At 40.2% G+C, this 18,321-nt stretch overlaps 1 long non-coding RNA gene across 1 annotated transcript in view; it reads left to right on the top strand.

Annotated features, from left to right (window-relative positions):
• The window catches only part of LINC00434 (long intergenic non-protein coding RNA 434), a 53,758-nt gene extending 37,101 nt beyond the window's left edge, over positions 1–16,657 (top strand). The window contains exons 2-3 of the long non-coding RNA NR_047022.1: positions 4,186–4,399; positions 16,062–16,657. This is a non-coding gene — a long non-coding RNA (long intergenic non-protein coding RNA 434). The remainder of the gene's footprint in view (positions 1–4,185; positions 4,400–16,061) is intronic.
• Positions 16,658–18,321: the final 1,664 nt, after the last annotated feature.

The raw sequence follows: 18,321 nt of genomic DNA, 5'->3' as shown, positions 1-18,321 counted from the left end.
CCGATGAACAAAAATGCAGAAGGCAATTCAACCCTTTAGAGGTCTGTTTTTCATCAGCTTTGATCTGAAAATTGAGACAAGTGTTTGGAGTACTGTCACTGATAAGGAGGAAAGTGAGGGCTGGAAGCATAGTCGAACAGAATGTGGTTACTCACACCCTGAGCGATTAAACACTCACTGCATTTTTTAAGGCAAATTCCACAAGTCACACAGTTTCAGAAATCATTACAGGGAAAAAGAACACCACACTCAGTACTTTCATAAGAGCAAAAGCTGTCATGACCACAGAATACCAAAGCATAAGCTGTGCACATATTCCCAGTTTCATCTTTAGTTTCTCTTATTTGTTTCTAGACACTGTTTTCTCTGCCACCGACAGTGTTTACAGTCTCTGACTGTCACATAATGAAACAGAAGCAGAAAGCCTTTATTATGGTGTTCATACTTTGGAAGACACCAACATAGCTAGGTGCCAGACTTGCTTTTGTTTTATTTTATTTTTATTCTCTCTCCTGGAGAAGTTTATTTCCTTGCTCTGAGGATCTGAAGAAATTTCAGGTCAGCAGATTGTTAGTAATTAAAAGGTCAAATTAATAAATCCAGTTGCATGGTTGAGACACAACCCAATGGGACCTAAATTATTATAGACATTTGCTCCTAGAAGAGGAAGAGCCATTCCATAAGCCCATCCATCATTGTAATTCTAAGACTTTTTGGTCCGGGCAAGAGTGAAACTTCTCCTACTGGCCTGGATTGAGCATGTGGAAAATCTGACCATTTTATTCAGTGCCTCTAAGGCTGGGGCAAGATCTCATCAGCAGCTAAAAAACAGAAACTTCTGACTTAACCATAGTGCTTTAGTTTCCTCCTTATTAGCAGAATGCGTGAAATCTCTTTAGAGTTGCTCTCTTTCTGTATCTGTGCTAAATGACTGTGCATGTGTGACAAAGTATAGTTAATGAAATCATTTAAACATTACTCAGCACCCACTATGTGGCAGATACTGCAAGGCACTGGAGACACAAAGAAGAATGAAACATAATTATCCCAGGCCTCAAGCAGTCATGGTCTAGTGGGGGGAGACAGATCTGCAAACATCTAATTACTATATAATGACATAATGTGGAAAATGCTGTAATAAGAAGTACACAGGGAGCTGTAGGAGCATAGAGGAGGGATGAACTCATTCCACAGGGTTTCCAGGAAAAGGGAGACTGGGACCATGTGACAAAGATAATGATATATTTATCTGCTGAGCCAGAGTTCTCCAGGTAGAGGAGTAGAAAGGCACTCCCAAAAGAGGATCTAGCAAAGACCAAAGCTAGTTGAATGTTTGAAAATATGTTTAGGAAACAACTGATTTGGAAAGTTTGTTATCAAGGGACCTCATTCAACAGGGGAAACCTTGGAGAAAAGAAATAATCCCCTTTCTACCGGCACACAGAGGAGAGTAGATGAAATAAACATTAGAGTTGCTTTGAAAAGGAAAAGAAGTAGAGATGGTTCAAAGAAGCAACAGACAGTGTGATGGGGAGGGAGGAGGGTAGGATAAGGTAAAGCCAGTCCCAGATGGATGCCCTCATGTTTCCACATTGTTTCTAAGTCCATACCTTTATCAGGTGCATTTTATTCCATTTTTACACACGTTCCCCTAGCCACCTGGTCTCTGAAGCAGCACTGAACCCCTTAAGTGACAGGGTTCAAAGATGAAACCGGATTCGGCCATGCCCCAGGGATGGTGTTATCTAAATCCCAAGAGAGACATAGACTAAAGGTCCCCTCAAAGAACAAAAATAAAAGGGAGACAAAGATTTCATCAGCCAAATTTGGGATCTTGAGGAGGAGAAAGGCTCTCTGGACAATTGAACTCCTGTCAGAACTGGGGAACAAAGCAGAAGCTTGTTACCTAAAAGACCAGGAACGTTCAGCCAGAAACTAGTGATACGGATTAATTTCCAGGATATATGTTTTTTGTTTTTTGGGTTTTTTTGAGACAGAGTTTCGCTTTTGTTGCCCAGGCTGGAGTACAATGGTGCAATCTCGGCTCACCGCAACCTCTGCCTCCCAGGTTCACGTGATTCTCCTGCCTCAGCCTCCTGAGTAGCTGGGATTACAGGCATGTGCCACCATGCCGGCTAATTTTGTATTTTTAGTAGAGACGGGGTTTCTCCATGTTGGTCAGGCTGGTCTTGAACTCCTGACCTCAAGTGATCCGCCCACCTTGGCCTCCCAAAGTGCTGGGATTACAGGCATGAGCCACCGCGCCCAGCCCCAGGATATACTTTTAAGTGAAAAAGCCAAATGTAATCCTAGGATGTTATGTACATCCTAATGTGTATAACATAGTATTAAAAAGTACACACATAAGGCCAGGTGTGGTGGCTCATGCCTGTAACCCCAGCACTTTGGGAAGCTGAGGTGGGTGTATTTCTTGAGCCTGGGAGTTCGAGACTAGCCTGGCAACATGGTGAAACCCTGTCTCTACAAAAAATACAAAAATTACCAGGGTGTGATGGCATGAGCCTATGGTCCCAGCTACTCAGGAAGTTGAGGTGGGAGGATCACCTGAGTCTAGGAGGTCGAGGCTGCAGTGAGTCGTGATCATGCCACTGTACTCCAGCCTGGGAAAAAGAGTGAGAATCTCTAAAAAAAAAAAAAAAAAAAGGAAGAAGAAAGAACGAAAAGAAAAAAAAGAAAAAAGGGAAAAGAAAATATACATGTATCTTCTTATTTGTGCAAATAGAAACATAATAAGAATAAACTTGAACTAATGAGATTGGTTACCCAAAGGAGATGGGTAGGGACTCAATAGAAAGAATGGGAGAGCAGGAACAAAGGAGAAGGGCTAAAGGGAGGTGACATTTCTCTGATTATACCTTTAGATATATATGTATATGTATATATATATATGTATATGTATATGTGTGTATATATATGTATGTATATGTATATATATAGATACATATGTACACACACACACACATATGCTTTGACTTTTGGTATCATGATCACATTAGTCATACTGAATAAATAGTCAAAATGAATTAGGAAGTAGAGAACATCGAAAATGAAATACAGTAACAAATTTGAAAAACAATGTTTTGACTATATTTTGTAAGGCTAAAGACAAAAAAAAACTGTTCACAAATATTGTTAGTTACTGAATTTGTTTTTCACTGGAGTATGAGTTAGCAATTCAGTAACTACTTTGTGTATGTTCTAGGACTGCTCAAATAAATATATTGGGGGTAATGAGAGTCTGGTTCCTCACTATTGGAGACAGAGATGGGACAGGCTTGAATGAACACTGAGGTGGTGGTTTGGAATCTGAGGTATCAATGTGAACTTGTGTTTTTGATATATTTGAGATAGCTAGAGATAGAAAAAGATGTAGATGGATGTATGTGGAACTTATGTATGTGTATACATGTATATATTTCTCATCTGTTTTCTCTGTGAGCACCTAGAAACAACATCACCTTGGCAAATGAGCCCCACCAGCACTCAGATCTCATTTTCATTTTAAAACCATTCTCTAATAAAAGGAACCAGTGCTCCTTGGCTGATTCCAGAGTTGAGGAAAAAAAAATACAAGGGGAGCCTGAAATATCTTGTGATGCCAGAAAGTAAGGAAATGATAAAAAATTGATGAGTCATGTGAAAAGGACACCAGAGTCCACTTGAGGGAACTCCCCATGGTCAAAGCTGGGAAAGGCAACAAAATAAATGAGACTAATAGATTATAACCTACTGATTACAATAAGTATTCATGAGTCCACATTGATAGAAAGACATACTGTTTTCATGTGGACCTTTATTTTCTACAATATCCTCATCTATAATAACGGAATTAGTAATGTTTATCTTGCAATATTGTTGTGAGGATTCATTTGGGAGAGGGTTTGAAAGAACTATTTAAAACACATAAAAAGTGCCTAGAAATGTTAATTGACTTCCCTGCCTTGTTCTCTTAGTACACAGTCATTTTCCTGGAAAACCAGACTATCACAATTTTGAAGCTGAATCCCTGGTAGAGTTTTGATTTAGTTTTAGAAATATGGTGTTAATCACTTTTTAGCAGCCTCCTTCAAAATGAAACCTTCTACCCATTGACTTGTCAGTAGTATTTAACCTAGAATAGTCATTAGGAATTCATCATCATTTCCCTATGCATTCTGCCTTCAGCTTCTTCCCTCCAGGTAAATTGCAGACGTGATGCTCAGAATTAAACTGTCAGGATGCTGCCATTCTGCTGCATGCTCCGGACAGCTGGCCGTTAGGGAGCACTGCAGGCTTGGAAGAGGTGACTTGTCTCCCTGTGTACAGCCCTCTGGGTAGAGCAGCTGTCATCTAAATACAGATGCTGATCTCCAAAAGAAGTTCCAGTTTGGTTACAGAGGTAATTTCAGCATTTTTCCTTTCTCTCAATATTTGAGTGGTCCATTTTTAGGATTGTTTAGAAGAGCTTCAATGGACCTATTTTCCTACCTATTTTCTATGGGTATTGTCTTCCCCTTCAGGTAATATGATCCTTGAAGGCAGAGAATGTTTCTACTTTTCTTTGCTAATCCCTCAGCATCCAATTTAATAATCTGCACACTAGACTTGATGCTATCAATCCAGTTATGGGTGCAAAGTAATCTTAGGAAGCAGATACAAATCCAATCCTCCTTCTGTTAGAGGGAGATAATAATACCTGCTTTTTACCTATCATACAAAGATGTATGTTCAAATCATTTTTTTTTAAGTTGGAAAAACATACTATGATTTGTGTGTAAGTGCTTTAGACTCTCTGGCATAAAGACAGTTAATTTGTTGATAACACTATGATGTTACTTATTCAACAAATATTTATCAAGCATTCATGTTAGCCCTGGTATTGTGTTAAATAGTGAGGATAAATAAAACTCAGGGCAAATAAAAGACTGTAACATCTGTCCTCAGTGAGTTTATAGTCAAATAATACGTGACAGATGTATAAATATGTTCAGCAAAGTGCCATAGTGTATGTGCTATGACAGCCATCTGTACAAGGCACATTGAGGCACAAGGAAGGTCAAGACATTCTACTGAAATTATTGAGAAAGGCTTCACAGAGAAGCTATCAATGTGAGCTAAGTTGGAAAGACAACCTAGCAACAGCATGAAGAACAGGTAAAAAGGAGAACTGACTGTAAGCAAGGAAACCAGTTATGAGACAATTCCAAGAGTCCAGGCTGGAGACAATGAGTCCTGCAGCAGCGACAATGGCAGCAGCCAGCACTCTGCAGGTCTTGTATGAAGAGCTCAGTGAATATTTGTTGAATATGTGAGGAATATCCAAGGAAACTGAGACGATAAATGTTGAAGGAGTAGGTATGACAGGAATTAATCATACAGTCATTTAACAAATGTATGTTTTGTCTCTACTAAAGATTGAACACTGTTCTAGGGGATGAAAATATAGTTAGTAAGCTAGACCCTGGTTTCAGGGGATGCACATTTTAATAGACAAGAAAAATGAACAAACAAAATAAGTCAGGTGTGTATAAGTGCTAAGAAGGAAAATGAAGCTGGATAGGAAGATAAGAGAACAGTAGGGGAGTAGGTTACTAATTTTATGTGGGGTGGTTAGGAAAGGGCTCAATGACAGATATTTCTATCAGTAGACAGATGAGCAAAGGAAGGTGGGGAGCTGTGTATCTGGAGGAAGAAAGGTCCAGGGAGAAGCAGGAAGGCTAGCATTTCTGGCACAGAGGAAGCAGGAATAAGAGAAGCAGAAGGTGAGGGCAGAGAAGAGGAATACACTGTGATAATGTGGGATGTCATTCCAGGATCACAGGTTGTCCCACAAGTCCTGTGTGCAAACCGTAAGTGAAATTCTGAGGGCTTCTGTTGGCAGCTCCACGGATGCTGGAGGTGGTGTCTTTAGGAGTACTCAGGTCTCTAGCCTTTGAGGAAAAGGAATACTCTAGAGTGGCTTCATGCTTCCTTGTTGAATTCCTGGTGCCATTCAACGAGATAAATAGTAGAGGTAAAGCCAGCCAGAGCGGTGGTGAATGAGCTACGTAATGAGTGTGTTAAGATATGTTGAGGTTGAGGTGTCTATGAGTGGCCAAGAGGGGCTGTCTAGTAGGCTGCCTATATAAAAATCTGTATCCAGGAGAGACTTCAGAGCTGGAAATAAGTGTTGTGTGCTTGTTTTTGATAGTTCTCTCATGGGAGTTGGTGTGGTCGTTGAAGGAGGGGTGAGGGAAGCAGAGGATGATGCTAGCACCTGACGATTGCCAACGTTTTAAGAGAGGGCAGAAATAAATGAGATTCCAAGTAAGACTGAGAAGGAATGTTTGGAGGTAGAAGAAGGAATAATAAAAAGTGATATCATAGAAGTCAAAAAGAAGAGATTTCTCAAAAAGACTGGAGTGGCCAGGTGCGGTGGTTCATGCCTGCAATCTCTGCACTTTGGGAGGCCACGGTGGGCGGATCACTAGAGGCCAGGAATTCAAGACCAGCCTGGCCAACATGGTGAAACCCATCTCTAATAAAAAATACAAAAATTAGCTGGGCATGGTGTCGTATGCCTGTAATCCCAGTTACTCAGGAGGCTGAGGCAAGAGAATTGCTTGAACTCAGGAGGCGGAGGTTGCAGTGGGCCGAGATCGTGCCACCACACCCCAGCCTAGGTGACAGAGCAAGACCCTGTATACCTCCCCCACACAAAAGACAGGAATAATGAACATTGTGCATTGAAGAAATGCCAAACGGGAGGTAAAAACATAAAGACACTGAGCACAGGTTACTTTTTCAAGGAACTTTGGTATAAAGGAAAATGTGTGGGATGTTAGCAGGAGAAAAATCAAAGGAATTGAAATGAGGCAGTTCTTCCTTTTGTTTTTGTTTCAAAGGTGGTTGGAACTTTAGCAAGTTTGTAGGCTTTGGGAAATGAATGCCTATACAGAGCTAGAAGCTGAAAATTTAGGAGAGAAAAGAAAGAGCTAATTGAGCAAACTCGCGGGAGACAAATGAAAATGGGAAGAAAGGCATTCCACTTGGAAGCCTGGTTCACTAGTGGGAACAGCACCCTTATCCTAAAGTCTAATCCTGTCTTTATTTCAGATTTTGATATTCTATGAATCATGGGTTTTTTGCATTAAGTTTAATTTTTTAAATATATTAAATTAAATACTATTTATCTTTATCACAGAGTTTTTTGGTCCTCTGAAATTTTACAGCAGAACTCTTACACACACACATACACACACACACACAGACACACACACGCACACATATATATATCCCTTACTTACCAATGAAAATGTTATTAGGATTAATTATTCAGGAATAAGGTTAATAATTAGACAAACACTAAGGACTGGGGATGCAGGACATAGGTGGAGGTGAATATTCTCTGGGGCTCAGGGCCTGGACTCCCAGGGAGCAGCAATACTGTGACTTCCCTGGTGAAGGAAACGAAACAGAAAGGCACCACACAAGGGATCCCCTCTACGGATGGGCCTGGCTTTGAATGTGAGCACATTGACAACAGCCATTAGATGTTCACTAAATCATTCTTCTGTGACCTGATCCCAGGATCTTCAGTAAAGCTTTCTATCAGGGACAAACTACTGCCCAGAAAACATATAGCAACTAATGAACTCATATTATTACCAAATTATGAACCCATGCAGTGCATTTCCTTATTTTAGTACATTCTTTTCACAAAGCACAATTTATGTCCCTCCCCTTGTGATAGCTTTTTCTCCATCTCTGACTGATATATTCATGCAATAGATTTATGAGTTTCATATATTTACTTATTTTCTAACAGCATAAAATTCTACCCACATAGTTGATTGGCATCATTTTTATTTCTTGTTGAAACCCAATTTAATTCTTTATTGCTGCTGATTTACAATTTTCACTGGTGATAAAGAGAGAATGAGGGAATTCAGTTGTGAGTATCAAGGCTCACAACATTATAAAAATAGCTAGTTGATGGCAAAATGTCTCACTAGCCAGTCATGTAAACATAAGTAATTGTTTTGTCAAGTATTGGCAAAGGAATTGACATCTATTTATACTCTCGTTGTCAATGGTGTGATGGTAAACATTTAACAACTAGTTCTCTTGAAATAAAAGCCCTATTTTTTTATGTTTGCCAATTTCCATGGTGTAAATGCTCATAGTTGATTTCAAGCTACCCACCTGACATCGCTGAATGTGGAGTGGAAAAGAGTTGCACACTTTTACATGATATTTCTACCATATAGATAAAATGAACATAAATATTGTGTATAGATTGTTGTAAAATGTAGTAAAATCACCAAGATGTGAAGAGTTTGGATTATTTGTTACCTTTTTTTAAAAGAAATTTATTTAATTCTAAGGTTATACAATTTAATTTTTAATAGTGGGATGTATTAGTTTGGTGCAAAAGTAATTGCAGTTTTTGCCATGACTTTTGATTACTTTTGCACCAACCTAATAAAATAAAATTCCTAAAAATATAACAGTCAGCTCTAATGAGGCTGTATTGTCCAGCTTCAGCATACCACTGTTCCTTCTAACTTTAATGAAGAGAGTTAGTTATGAGGAGACAGATAGGAAGCACATAACTTCTTATTTACTATAATAGCAGCAGCTCTCAGAGATGGTGGCTGCCTGCTTTGAAGGAACAACAGAGAAACTGAAAACACAGTCAAAGAAGCTTTCCATGCAAAGGTACAACATTGAAATATATAATCATGATTATCACATACTATGAACAATTCATAACGCTTTGACACATCTAGCTTTGCGCTACGCAAGTAGGTCCTTACTATTGAATCTGCCCAACGTAGCTATTCTGCCAGGTAGCTTTGTTTAGGATATGGAAATGTTTTTCCCTTGTAGATTTATAAAAACCAAGGATCCCACTCTAGAACTGGAAAATGGGGGCTCATCCTAAAGATGGTTAGTCTTCTCAAATATAATGCAGGGAACTGTTGTCTGTAGAATAGTGCCTCTGGGATCAAAGTTCCCTTTAGCAAAGTAAGGTTTGGCATGCTTGCTTGTGTTGGAAGAAAAATTCTTTTCTCTCCAGTCTTATGTCAAAGTCTAAGCAACTTAGGAGTATATCTTTGTGATGCAGGATTTTTGTCTGCCACTTTGCCAGTTGGGGCCCTCCATGGCCAGCGATGCCCCCACCTAGGCCTCACTTGGCCCCAGGCTGGCTGCAGGAGGCACTTCATCCACTCGGCCCACCAGGCTGCGCCTGGCTCGTGCACCAGCTCAGCCCACAGCTGGGCTGGGTGTGCCCCAGCCTGCCTGTGTTACAGCTTGTACCCACATTTGCTGGTTCCTGAGTTCTTGTCCCATGTCCAAGAATGAGGTTATACTCACAATAGAAGGGTAAGGAGGACGGAGAAGAATTTTATTGAGCGATTGAACAGTTCTCAATAGAGAGGGGAGGCAAGGGTGGTCCCCCGCCCAAAGTTGGGTGGTGTCTCTCTCAGTGTGTCTAGGTCCGGGGCTTTTATGGGCTCAGAATGGGAGAGTACATGCTGATTGGCTTGTGAGTATGCAAAAGAGGCTAAAACAAATCACCACAAAAGGTGGGCATGACAGTGTAAAAAACCAATTAGGGAAGGGTAGGTATATGTTAAATAGGTGAAGGGTGGAGATCAATCAGGGGAAAGTGTGCCAAACAGGAAGAGATGTTCTTAATCCAATCCATGGATTTTTCCGAGATTGTGGCTTGATTTTCAGGATTTAAACTGTCTTTGGTTTCAAAGTGGGGTTTCACCAGCAACCTGCCTGTATCTGCCTAGGCATTTGTCTGCCTCCTGCCACTATCATTTGTACTGTCTCGACTGGGAATGTGGGTCCAGAATATGACCCATTTAGGTTTTCTTCCAAATGGGTCATATTCTGAACCCACATTCCCAGTGTTTGGATCAGTTACCCAGTTTGAAAGTCCTGGGCTTACAACATGTACAACTTTGAATTATTGGGAGGATATCCATTCAGGAGAGAGGCAAGAGAGCCAATTGCTAATGTGCTGCTCCAGAGCCCCAGCCCTTCCAACCTGCAGGAGATGGGGAATGCAGACTGGGAAATTCAGTCTAGAACCTGTGTAGCCATTTCTATTTCTGGTCACAAAGCCTAATCCTGGAATTCAACTTTTTCATGACTACAGTTACTATATGTTATTTTCTACATATGTTACTTAACAAATTTCTATTCTTTGAGCAACTTACATTTTTTGAGGAACTTACATCCTCTATTCTGGCTAGGAAACCTGTCAGTGAAAGTATTTTTGGTATAGGGCAATGATTTTCCAATGATTTTCCTGATAGGAGATACTTCCTGAGCAGTTCCACTATGCTGTTGGGTTCTGAGTCAGATTTTATTTGATAAGAGATTCCTCAGCTCAAAACGCAAGTTTGAAAACCACTAGGAAAAAAGAGACTGTACCTGTGCTATATGACAAAAGTAAGAAAGAATTAATCTGGAAGCATTTGAAAGTCACTGTTGGAATTTAGACTACGATACAAGTCAGTTTAAAGTTAAAAAAGATGTGAAAAAGGGCCCTCAATATTAAATTGAAGATTGTTGTCCTGATATCATTCTTATTCAAGGACTATTGATTTTTTAAAAATCAAGCTGTTTAAAAATGTTGCGCTAAGGATGAAACCATATTCAATGACAAATGAACTGCATAAACTGTCTTCACAGGGCCTTATCAAAGCCTTTCACATGGTGCTTGGATGGTTGGTTTTGATGGGCAGAATCTGAGTCATGTACCCTTATCTAGCTTCATTATGATGGATATGGACTTGGTTCCCAGAGACTCTCACTAGTTCCACAAAAGGAGATTTTTTAAAATGCAGCCTGATAAATTCTCCATTCAATGAGAGATGGGGAATGTTTTATTCTACTGTATTGCAACTTAAAGACACCTGACCTGAGTTTCTGCAGGAAGTTGTATTTATAGGGAGAATATTTGGGTTACAATCCTCAATGTTGCTCTCCTCCCTTCACTTTCACTTTCTCCAAACCAGGTTTAAGTATTCCCTGCCCCATCCACCCCCCTCCCACCCACCCCCTTCACTTAATAATCCAGGAGAACTTAGAATGAGAGACTATGATTGGAATAGAAGGAATTGAGAGCTTTGCTAAACATCTGGAAAAGCATTTTGGAGGAGTATCAATTTGCTTCATCACTATAGTAGCTCAGTTCAACTCCCCTAAGAAAAAAATAAGACTAATCTTAGATCTGAACCCCCGCAGTGCTAGATTTGCTATGACAGATTCTCTCCAGTTTATGCAGTTGTTCTTTTCAGTTTTTGTCATAACTTAAAAGTAGGAAAAGATTTAATATGTAGGTCAGCAAAAGAAGAACCCTGCCATTGGGGTCAACAACATTAAACTCTGAATTTACTAGCAAGGGTATTTACTACAGGCTGCTATTATGCTAAGAGTACCTGATCTATTTCTGTATGAGTACCATGCACTAGTTGATTGTGCCACTGAAGCTCCATACCTGATCTATCTCTTATAACAACTCTGAGAAAGAAAACATTACTCCTACTTCACTGATTAGAATATTGAGGCTTAGGCCAGGCATGGGGAGGTTCATGCCTGTAATCCCAGCACTTTGGGAGGCTGAGACAGGCGATCACCTGAGGTCGGGAGTTGGAGACCAGCCTAACCAACATGGAGAAATGCCATCTCTACTAAAAATACAAAATTAGCCAAGCATGGTGGCACATGCCTGTAATCCCAACTACTCAGGAGGCTGAGGCAGGAGAATCGCTGGAACCTAGGAGGTGGAGGTTGCGGTGAGCCAAGATTGCAGCATTGCACCCCATCCTGGGCAACAAGAGCGAAACTCTGTCTCAAACAAGAAAAAAAAAAAAAGAAGAAAGAAAGAAAGAAAGAAAGAAAGAAAGAAAGAAAGAAAGAAAGAAAGAAAGTAAGTTGAGGCTTAGAGGCTTTAGGTGACTTACTCAAGGTCATTCAGCTAGAAAATGGTAGAAAAAGGATACAAATCCAAGCAGCCAGATCCCAGGGTCTGAGCGCTTAACTGCATCCTGTACTATGGTACAGTCAAGGATGCAGGGCTGTGATTCTAACACATGGCAATGTGACATGATGCATCAAAACACTTTGGGAGGCAATTCATCTATGCACTAGGCTACTTTTTGTTTTCACATAAAATGCAAATTTTCTACATTTCTAAAACTTTACTGTGTTCCTTATATAATAATTTGTATAAGGTCAAATTTGCATAAGTCAAGTGTTGAGTAACGTGGTGAGCATCTGTACATCATTATACTGTAACTAAATAGAACAGGAAAGGAGAAAGGTAGGTAGGATTAGGTTTGGTGTTTTTGTTGTTGTTGTTATTGTTGTTGTTTTGAAGGGAGAGAAAGGATCACAAAGAATAAAGAAGTGGAGGTGGGGAGGAAAAAAACAGCAATTGGAGGACAGAAGTCAGCTTTTACTTGATAATAAGAATGAATACGCTAGCTCTGATCACACGTGCTTCTTTCTCTCACTCTCTCCCTTTCTCTTTTCTTCCTTCCTTTCTTCCTTGGTGGTTTTGTTATTAAACTCTGTCAGATTCTCAGGATCATAAACATGCCTAGGGCATCTCAGGTAATAGGAGTTATTTGTAAGGTACGTTAAAAATAAGGAAGGAAGGTAGGTAAGGTAAACGCACACACACACACACACACACACACACACACACACACACACAGAAAAACATCCAGGAGTTAAACAAAACAACCAGGCCTTCAGGATAATAGCCCTTTGCTCACCAAGTCACACCTCAAGGAGAACTGGAACACCCTTCAGCTACCACATGGTTGTGTCTCATTATTTCACCCTCTTCATCCACAGGCTTCCAGTGTTTCTCTCTGTCTTGGCTTCTACTTTTCTTGACACCGCAGATTCTCCTGACTCTCTGTTCACCTCATACCTTTTTCTCACTCTAGACTTCTGCTGACCCATAGCTTTGCCTTTCTTCTGTTTATATCACAGCTTTTGCCGAGCCATCCAAGAAAGTTCTGTGTATTAATTCTTTCACTCAAAGAATATTTAGCTTGGATGAGATGTCTCTCACACATATATTCTGGACACCCATTTTTGTCCCTGTATTGAAGACCTTTTAAAAGCTCTGATCAGTTCGCAAGAAATTCCCTTAACTGCCCCCCTGTTACAGGTAGTTAAGCATGAGCAGGGCAGGAGAGGGCTCCCTCCCCTCTACCAGGAATGTTGAGTGATGATGGTTTGGCAGTTATCACATAGCCTATCTAAAAGTGATAAATTGGCAGCCAGTGCCAGGGAGAGGCCATTTCCTGATGGTCTACACCTGTCGCACCAAAGTGTTGACTGAATGCAGATGTGAGAAAAAGCAACTTCCTGGGCATGCACATTATGAGACAAAATGATGGAGCATGACTTTCCTGTGGCACTCCATCAGAAAAGGGAAGAAAGCCTCAGATGGCTATGCATACAACTTCCTAAACACACTAGGAGTGTTCACTTCCCAAAGGTAAGGAGGACACTGTGCATGCGGGCAGCCCACCCTAAGGGAAGAAATCATGGGAAAGGGATGCAAGACCCCAGAAGTGGGCCAGCCTTCTAGGATCAAGGTTAAATGCCGCATTTGTCCTTCAAGTTGCTTGCTTGGGTCTCTTCCAAGTGTACTTTCCTTTCTTTCCTATTCTAAAGGCTTTTAAAATAAACTTCCACTCCTGCTCTGAACCGTGCCTTGGTCTGTTTTTCTGCCTTATGCCCCTCAGTGGAATTCTTTCTTCTGAGGAAGCAAGAACTGAGGTTGCTGTAAACCCGTACGGATTCGCCGCTGGTAACTCAGATACATTCCACTGGTAACACCCCAGCCCACCCCAACATAAATGTGGATCCAACAGTCATTTTGTACATAATCCCACCCTTCTATCTGCCCCTCTTGTCCCAAGATAAGCCAAGCAGAATTCTTTCCTGGTCATCTGAAATTTAACGAAGAGAATGCATCAATCTCTCCAGGTGGCCAAGTCTTTAGCTTGTGTGACTTGGTTGTCCCTGCTCCCGGCACTGTCTTGTTTTGTTGCAACCCAGACAACTCAGTTCTTTTGTTAGTTTCTAGTAAAATATCTATCATCCCCAGTATCTTATCATTTTAATAGTCTTTACTATAAATGGAATGGAGAGGGGAGAGTTCATTCAGTCCCTCCCCTCTCCCTCTCCTTCCTAACTCTGTCTCTCTCCTGGGCCACACTAATTCTCCTCCTTGTTTTGTGCATAGCAATTTACAGCAATCGTCTTTTCAGACATGAGCATGCCCTGAGGGCTCACCCACTAAGCCAATCAGCTGATCGAAGAGCTTATTGAAGCATTACTTTCAAGAGTAGATATTCCTCCTTAGGGGAATTCTGGTCAATATAATTGTCTTCTCTGGACAGGTCTGTACTTAAAAGCTGTGACCAGTTTTACAACAGCACTTGGACTGGGGAGCAAATAAGACAGTTTTGGGGTAAAGAAAAGGAGAAGCAGAGAGGAGAGTCAGAAAGAACATTTCCTAGGGAGACAATGACTCTCCAATTCCCAGTCCCTGTCCTCCCAAAAGTCAGGCTGCGTTCCCCCTCTTGTGTTCTGTGAGACACCCCATTACCTAATAATTCCCTTTTTAACTTGGATTAGCTAGGCTGTCTACTTGTCACACCAAAACTATAACTAATCATATATTCCCCCTATCAAAAAAGTATTACTTGGCCAGGGGTGGTGGCTCATGTCTGTAATCCTAACACTTTGGGGGTTGAGGCAGAAGGATCAACCCCCTAACACTTTGGGGGTTGAAGCCAGGAGTTCAAGTCCAGCCTGGGCAACAAACTGAAACACCATCTTTATAAAAAAATTTTTAAAAAATTAGCTAAGGGCAGTGGCACATGCCTGTAGTCTCAGCTACTCAGAAGATTGAGGCAGGGGGATGGCTTGAGCCCAGGAGTTTGAGGCTACGGTGAGCTATGATCATGCCTCAGTACTCCGGTGTGGGAGACAGAGTGAGACCCAGTCTCTTAAAAAAAAGTATTACTTTTTATTATGATATCATTGCCAGTTATCATCTTCTCTGTGCTTTCCACTTGAAAGCTTCTTAAGGGCAAGGACTGCACTTGTCTTGCTCACTATTTTATTCTCAGTAATTAGCATGTTCTCCAGACACTTAATAAATACATTTTGAAAAACTGTAGAGTTATTGACTGCCAACTGTGTACCAAGCACTATTTTATGCACTGTGATTAAGAAGATGAATGATATAATCCTTTACCTCCTATTGCTTAGAGCCTAGATTATTCCCAAATCTATCTTGTTCATCTTTAATTTTTCCTTGTGTTAGTTAAAACTCTTTCATGGGGCAGTGTTGGCTCAAGTGGCCAAATATTATAAAGGGCAGAGATAAAACTGGACCTAAGGGACAGCTGGAACCAGGTCACATGTGGTCAGGACTCTTTCCCCTCTTGTCTCCATCCACGGGTTGACTTCACCATCTCAGACTCATTTCCTCCTGAGTATGGAGTATGGGACACTCAGCGACAGCAGTTTTCAAGCTTACATTATTCCAGTTTTATCACTTTCCATGGTTGCAACTTGAAAAATTGGGAGAAGTCCTCCAGTCGGCTCAGCTCGTGTGAAGTGTCCTTCTTTGGGCCAATTACCGTGGAGGAAGGCGCTAGGATGATTTTAATTTAGGTTTCCATTTCTACATCAATCACCACAGCAGAATCTGTAGGAGGATGGCAGCTTCCAGTCTCAGCCGTATGAGTGGGGCATGGCCAGAAGGGGAGTGGATTCTCTTCTATGCAGATAAAATAATAGTTGTGTGTCCACTCCATTCCATTATTCTCATATCCATAAACTCTTTCCCTGACTTTAAGTAACAAATGTTTATAAAATGCTCATTGAGCACAAAGCATTATTCTAGGCTCTTAGATTAAGCTTTTAGATTTCGTATATCGAAATTAATTTTTAAAAGAAAAACATTTTTTCTCAATTCCTGCAATAATAGCCTGACCTTTTCTGTGTTTCTTTTCCAGAGTTACAGCATAGTGAAACTTCAAGAACTAGGTTTTTCTGGACCATCCCAGTGCGCATGAATCAGGTGATTTTATCTTTTGTTCCTCTCCTTGCTATCCCTAATCTGTCAGGCAGTCCTAAATCTATACCATCAGGCTTGTTTGTTCTACTTCTCTATCCTTTTATTATGGTTCCATTAACTCACATCCAAGGATGTCAAGAGAATAAATAGCCCAATAAAACAAAAGAATATACTTCCAGATTTAAAAAGAAAGAAACATACAAGAAATACATAAATCATACTATATGACGATAGCCCAGAAGATTGCATGGAGGATCTTTGTGTTTCCTGTAGAAGAAAAGAAAAATGGAATTTCCATCTCTTGCATCAGCACTTGACAGCTGGAGTTATTGTTGACCAGGCATCAAGAAAGGAGGGATATGCATCAGAAATCATTTTGCCTGAAATAAGCACAACTCCATGGAGGACAATGACACATTTTCTCTGGTGATCTTGTAATTGGGGATGATGTAAACATGAGTCTAATCTGCATTTTGTCTAAGAAATTCTTCATCATGAGCATCTTCCAATAAAACGTGGTTCCTTACAACATGAGTTTGCATGACAACTTCTTACCACTTACTTCATGTCACACTTATATAATGGAGACTCATGTCTCAATGAACGCTTTCCAGATAAACAGAAGCACTTCTCCAAGAGTAATAAACACCTGCCATACAGGTTGCTAAGAGCTCAAATAAAGATAAATTTGTTGGCTTGACCCAAACGTTCTCTGGATCTCAAATTAATCTAATGTTATCAGACATTTGGCACTTTCTCTATCTCAACCAAAAAGACCAGTCTTTGATCATGGTCTCATCACTCTTTTTCAAGAAGTAATTGTTATTTTTCTTCCTGGTGTTCACGTGCTGCTTCAGTAGGGTACATCATGATCTCCAAACGTAGCACCCAAACTCGAACAGAATATAATTCCCAGTCAAATTGAATGTTTGCTTCTTGGAATTACTGTTAATGTAAGTCTAAGTCCAATATCAAGGGAGAATTTATTTTTTTAGGTTCTCTACAAGACTTGATTTAGAAATTATATTAATATTTTAAAATATTTAGAAATTATATTAATATTTTAAAATGCGCTTTAAAGATTTCTTAATTTAGGCTTATAGTTTTACAGTTGACGAAACTCAGACACAAGAAAGCCCTTCCCCAAGGTCACACAGATCTTAGTGACAGAGTGCTAACTTACACTAGAAGATAACTTTGTTTTACTTTAATTATGAAGAAATTGAAACTATTTAACTTCAAAATATGTTCTATATATCTTAATATATTTAGTTATGACAAACAAAGAATTTTTTTATGTCAATGAAAGCTGTCTTGGCAAGTAGCCAGCAAGCTTATCTACCAGCTTTTATAGATTTAAAAGTTAGTAATTACCTTACCTTTCTAGGAAATAAAGATTCGATATAGAAAACTCAGAGGGAAAAGTCAATGCAGAGAGGGAGAGAAACCACTTGAGAAGGTCACCAGCTGTGGATGCAGAAAACACCTGCCCCAATCTCCCCCATTAGATAAGAACAGACTTACACTATTAATATTATTATTACTATTACTAGTTTTATTCCATTTAATCTAACCTCTGATGTCCTCCCAGAGCAAGCTCTAAAACATGATTTACAGCACTTAGGAAACTTTTATTTTTTTTTCCTGAGCAAACCCTTTCTGCTGTTGTCTGGAAGCCTGGAATTTGCAAACAGCAGCTTTCTGACAGCTGAAACTGTAAAAAAGTTTTTCTTCTTCATTCCCACTGGAACCTAAACTGATCTGAAACAGGTGAGATGGGCTTACAGTAGAACAGAAGAGACCACTGGAATTGCACTGCATCTGCCTCAAACCCAGGAGTCCAGAGGGTTTTGGGATTGCTGTGTGCTTCCTGCAAACCCTCCCAGGAGTGCAAGCTTCCTTTGTTTACCATTTTAGCCAGCTCGTTATCTCTCTGTTTTCTAGTTCTGCCAACACTCTCCACAGGATTACCACACAATCTTACTGATTTTCCCAAACATCTGCCCATTTCATTTACTCGGAAGTGACAGCTCTCTAGCTGACTACATCTGCACTTCGGTTGTAGTCAAATGCTCTTAAATGACTTTTTTTTTTTTTAAACTTTCTCCCCTTAAACCAGTTTATTTAACCATGCATTTATTTTACATCACAGTGAAATTTAAACAGAAGGAAATGCACTATTCTATATTCTGCAGGAG

Source organism: Homo sapiens, chromosome 13 (genome assembly GCF_000001405.40).
Source record: "Homo sapiens chromosome 13, GRCh38.p14 Primary Assembly".
In the NCBI taxonomy this organism is placed as follows: Eukaryota; Metazoa; Chordata; class Mammalia; order Primates; family Hominidae; genus Homo; species Homo sapiens.
This window is presented reverse-complemented; position numbering and strand designations above follow the sequence as displayed.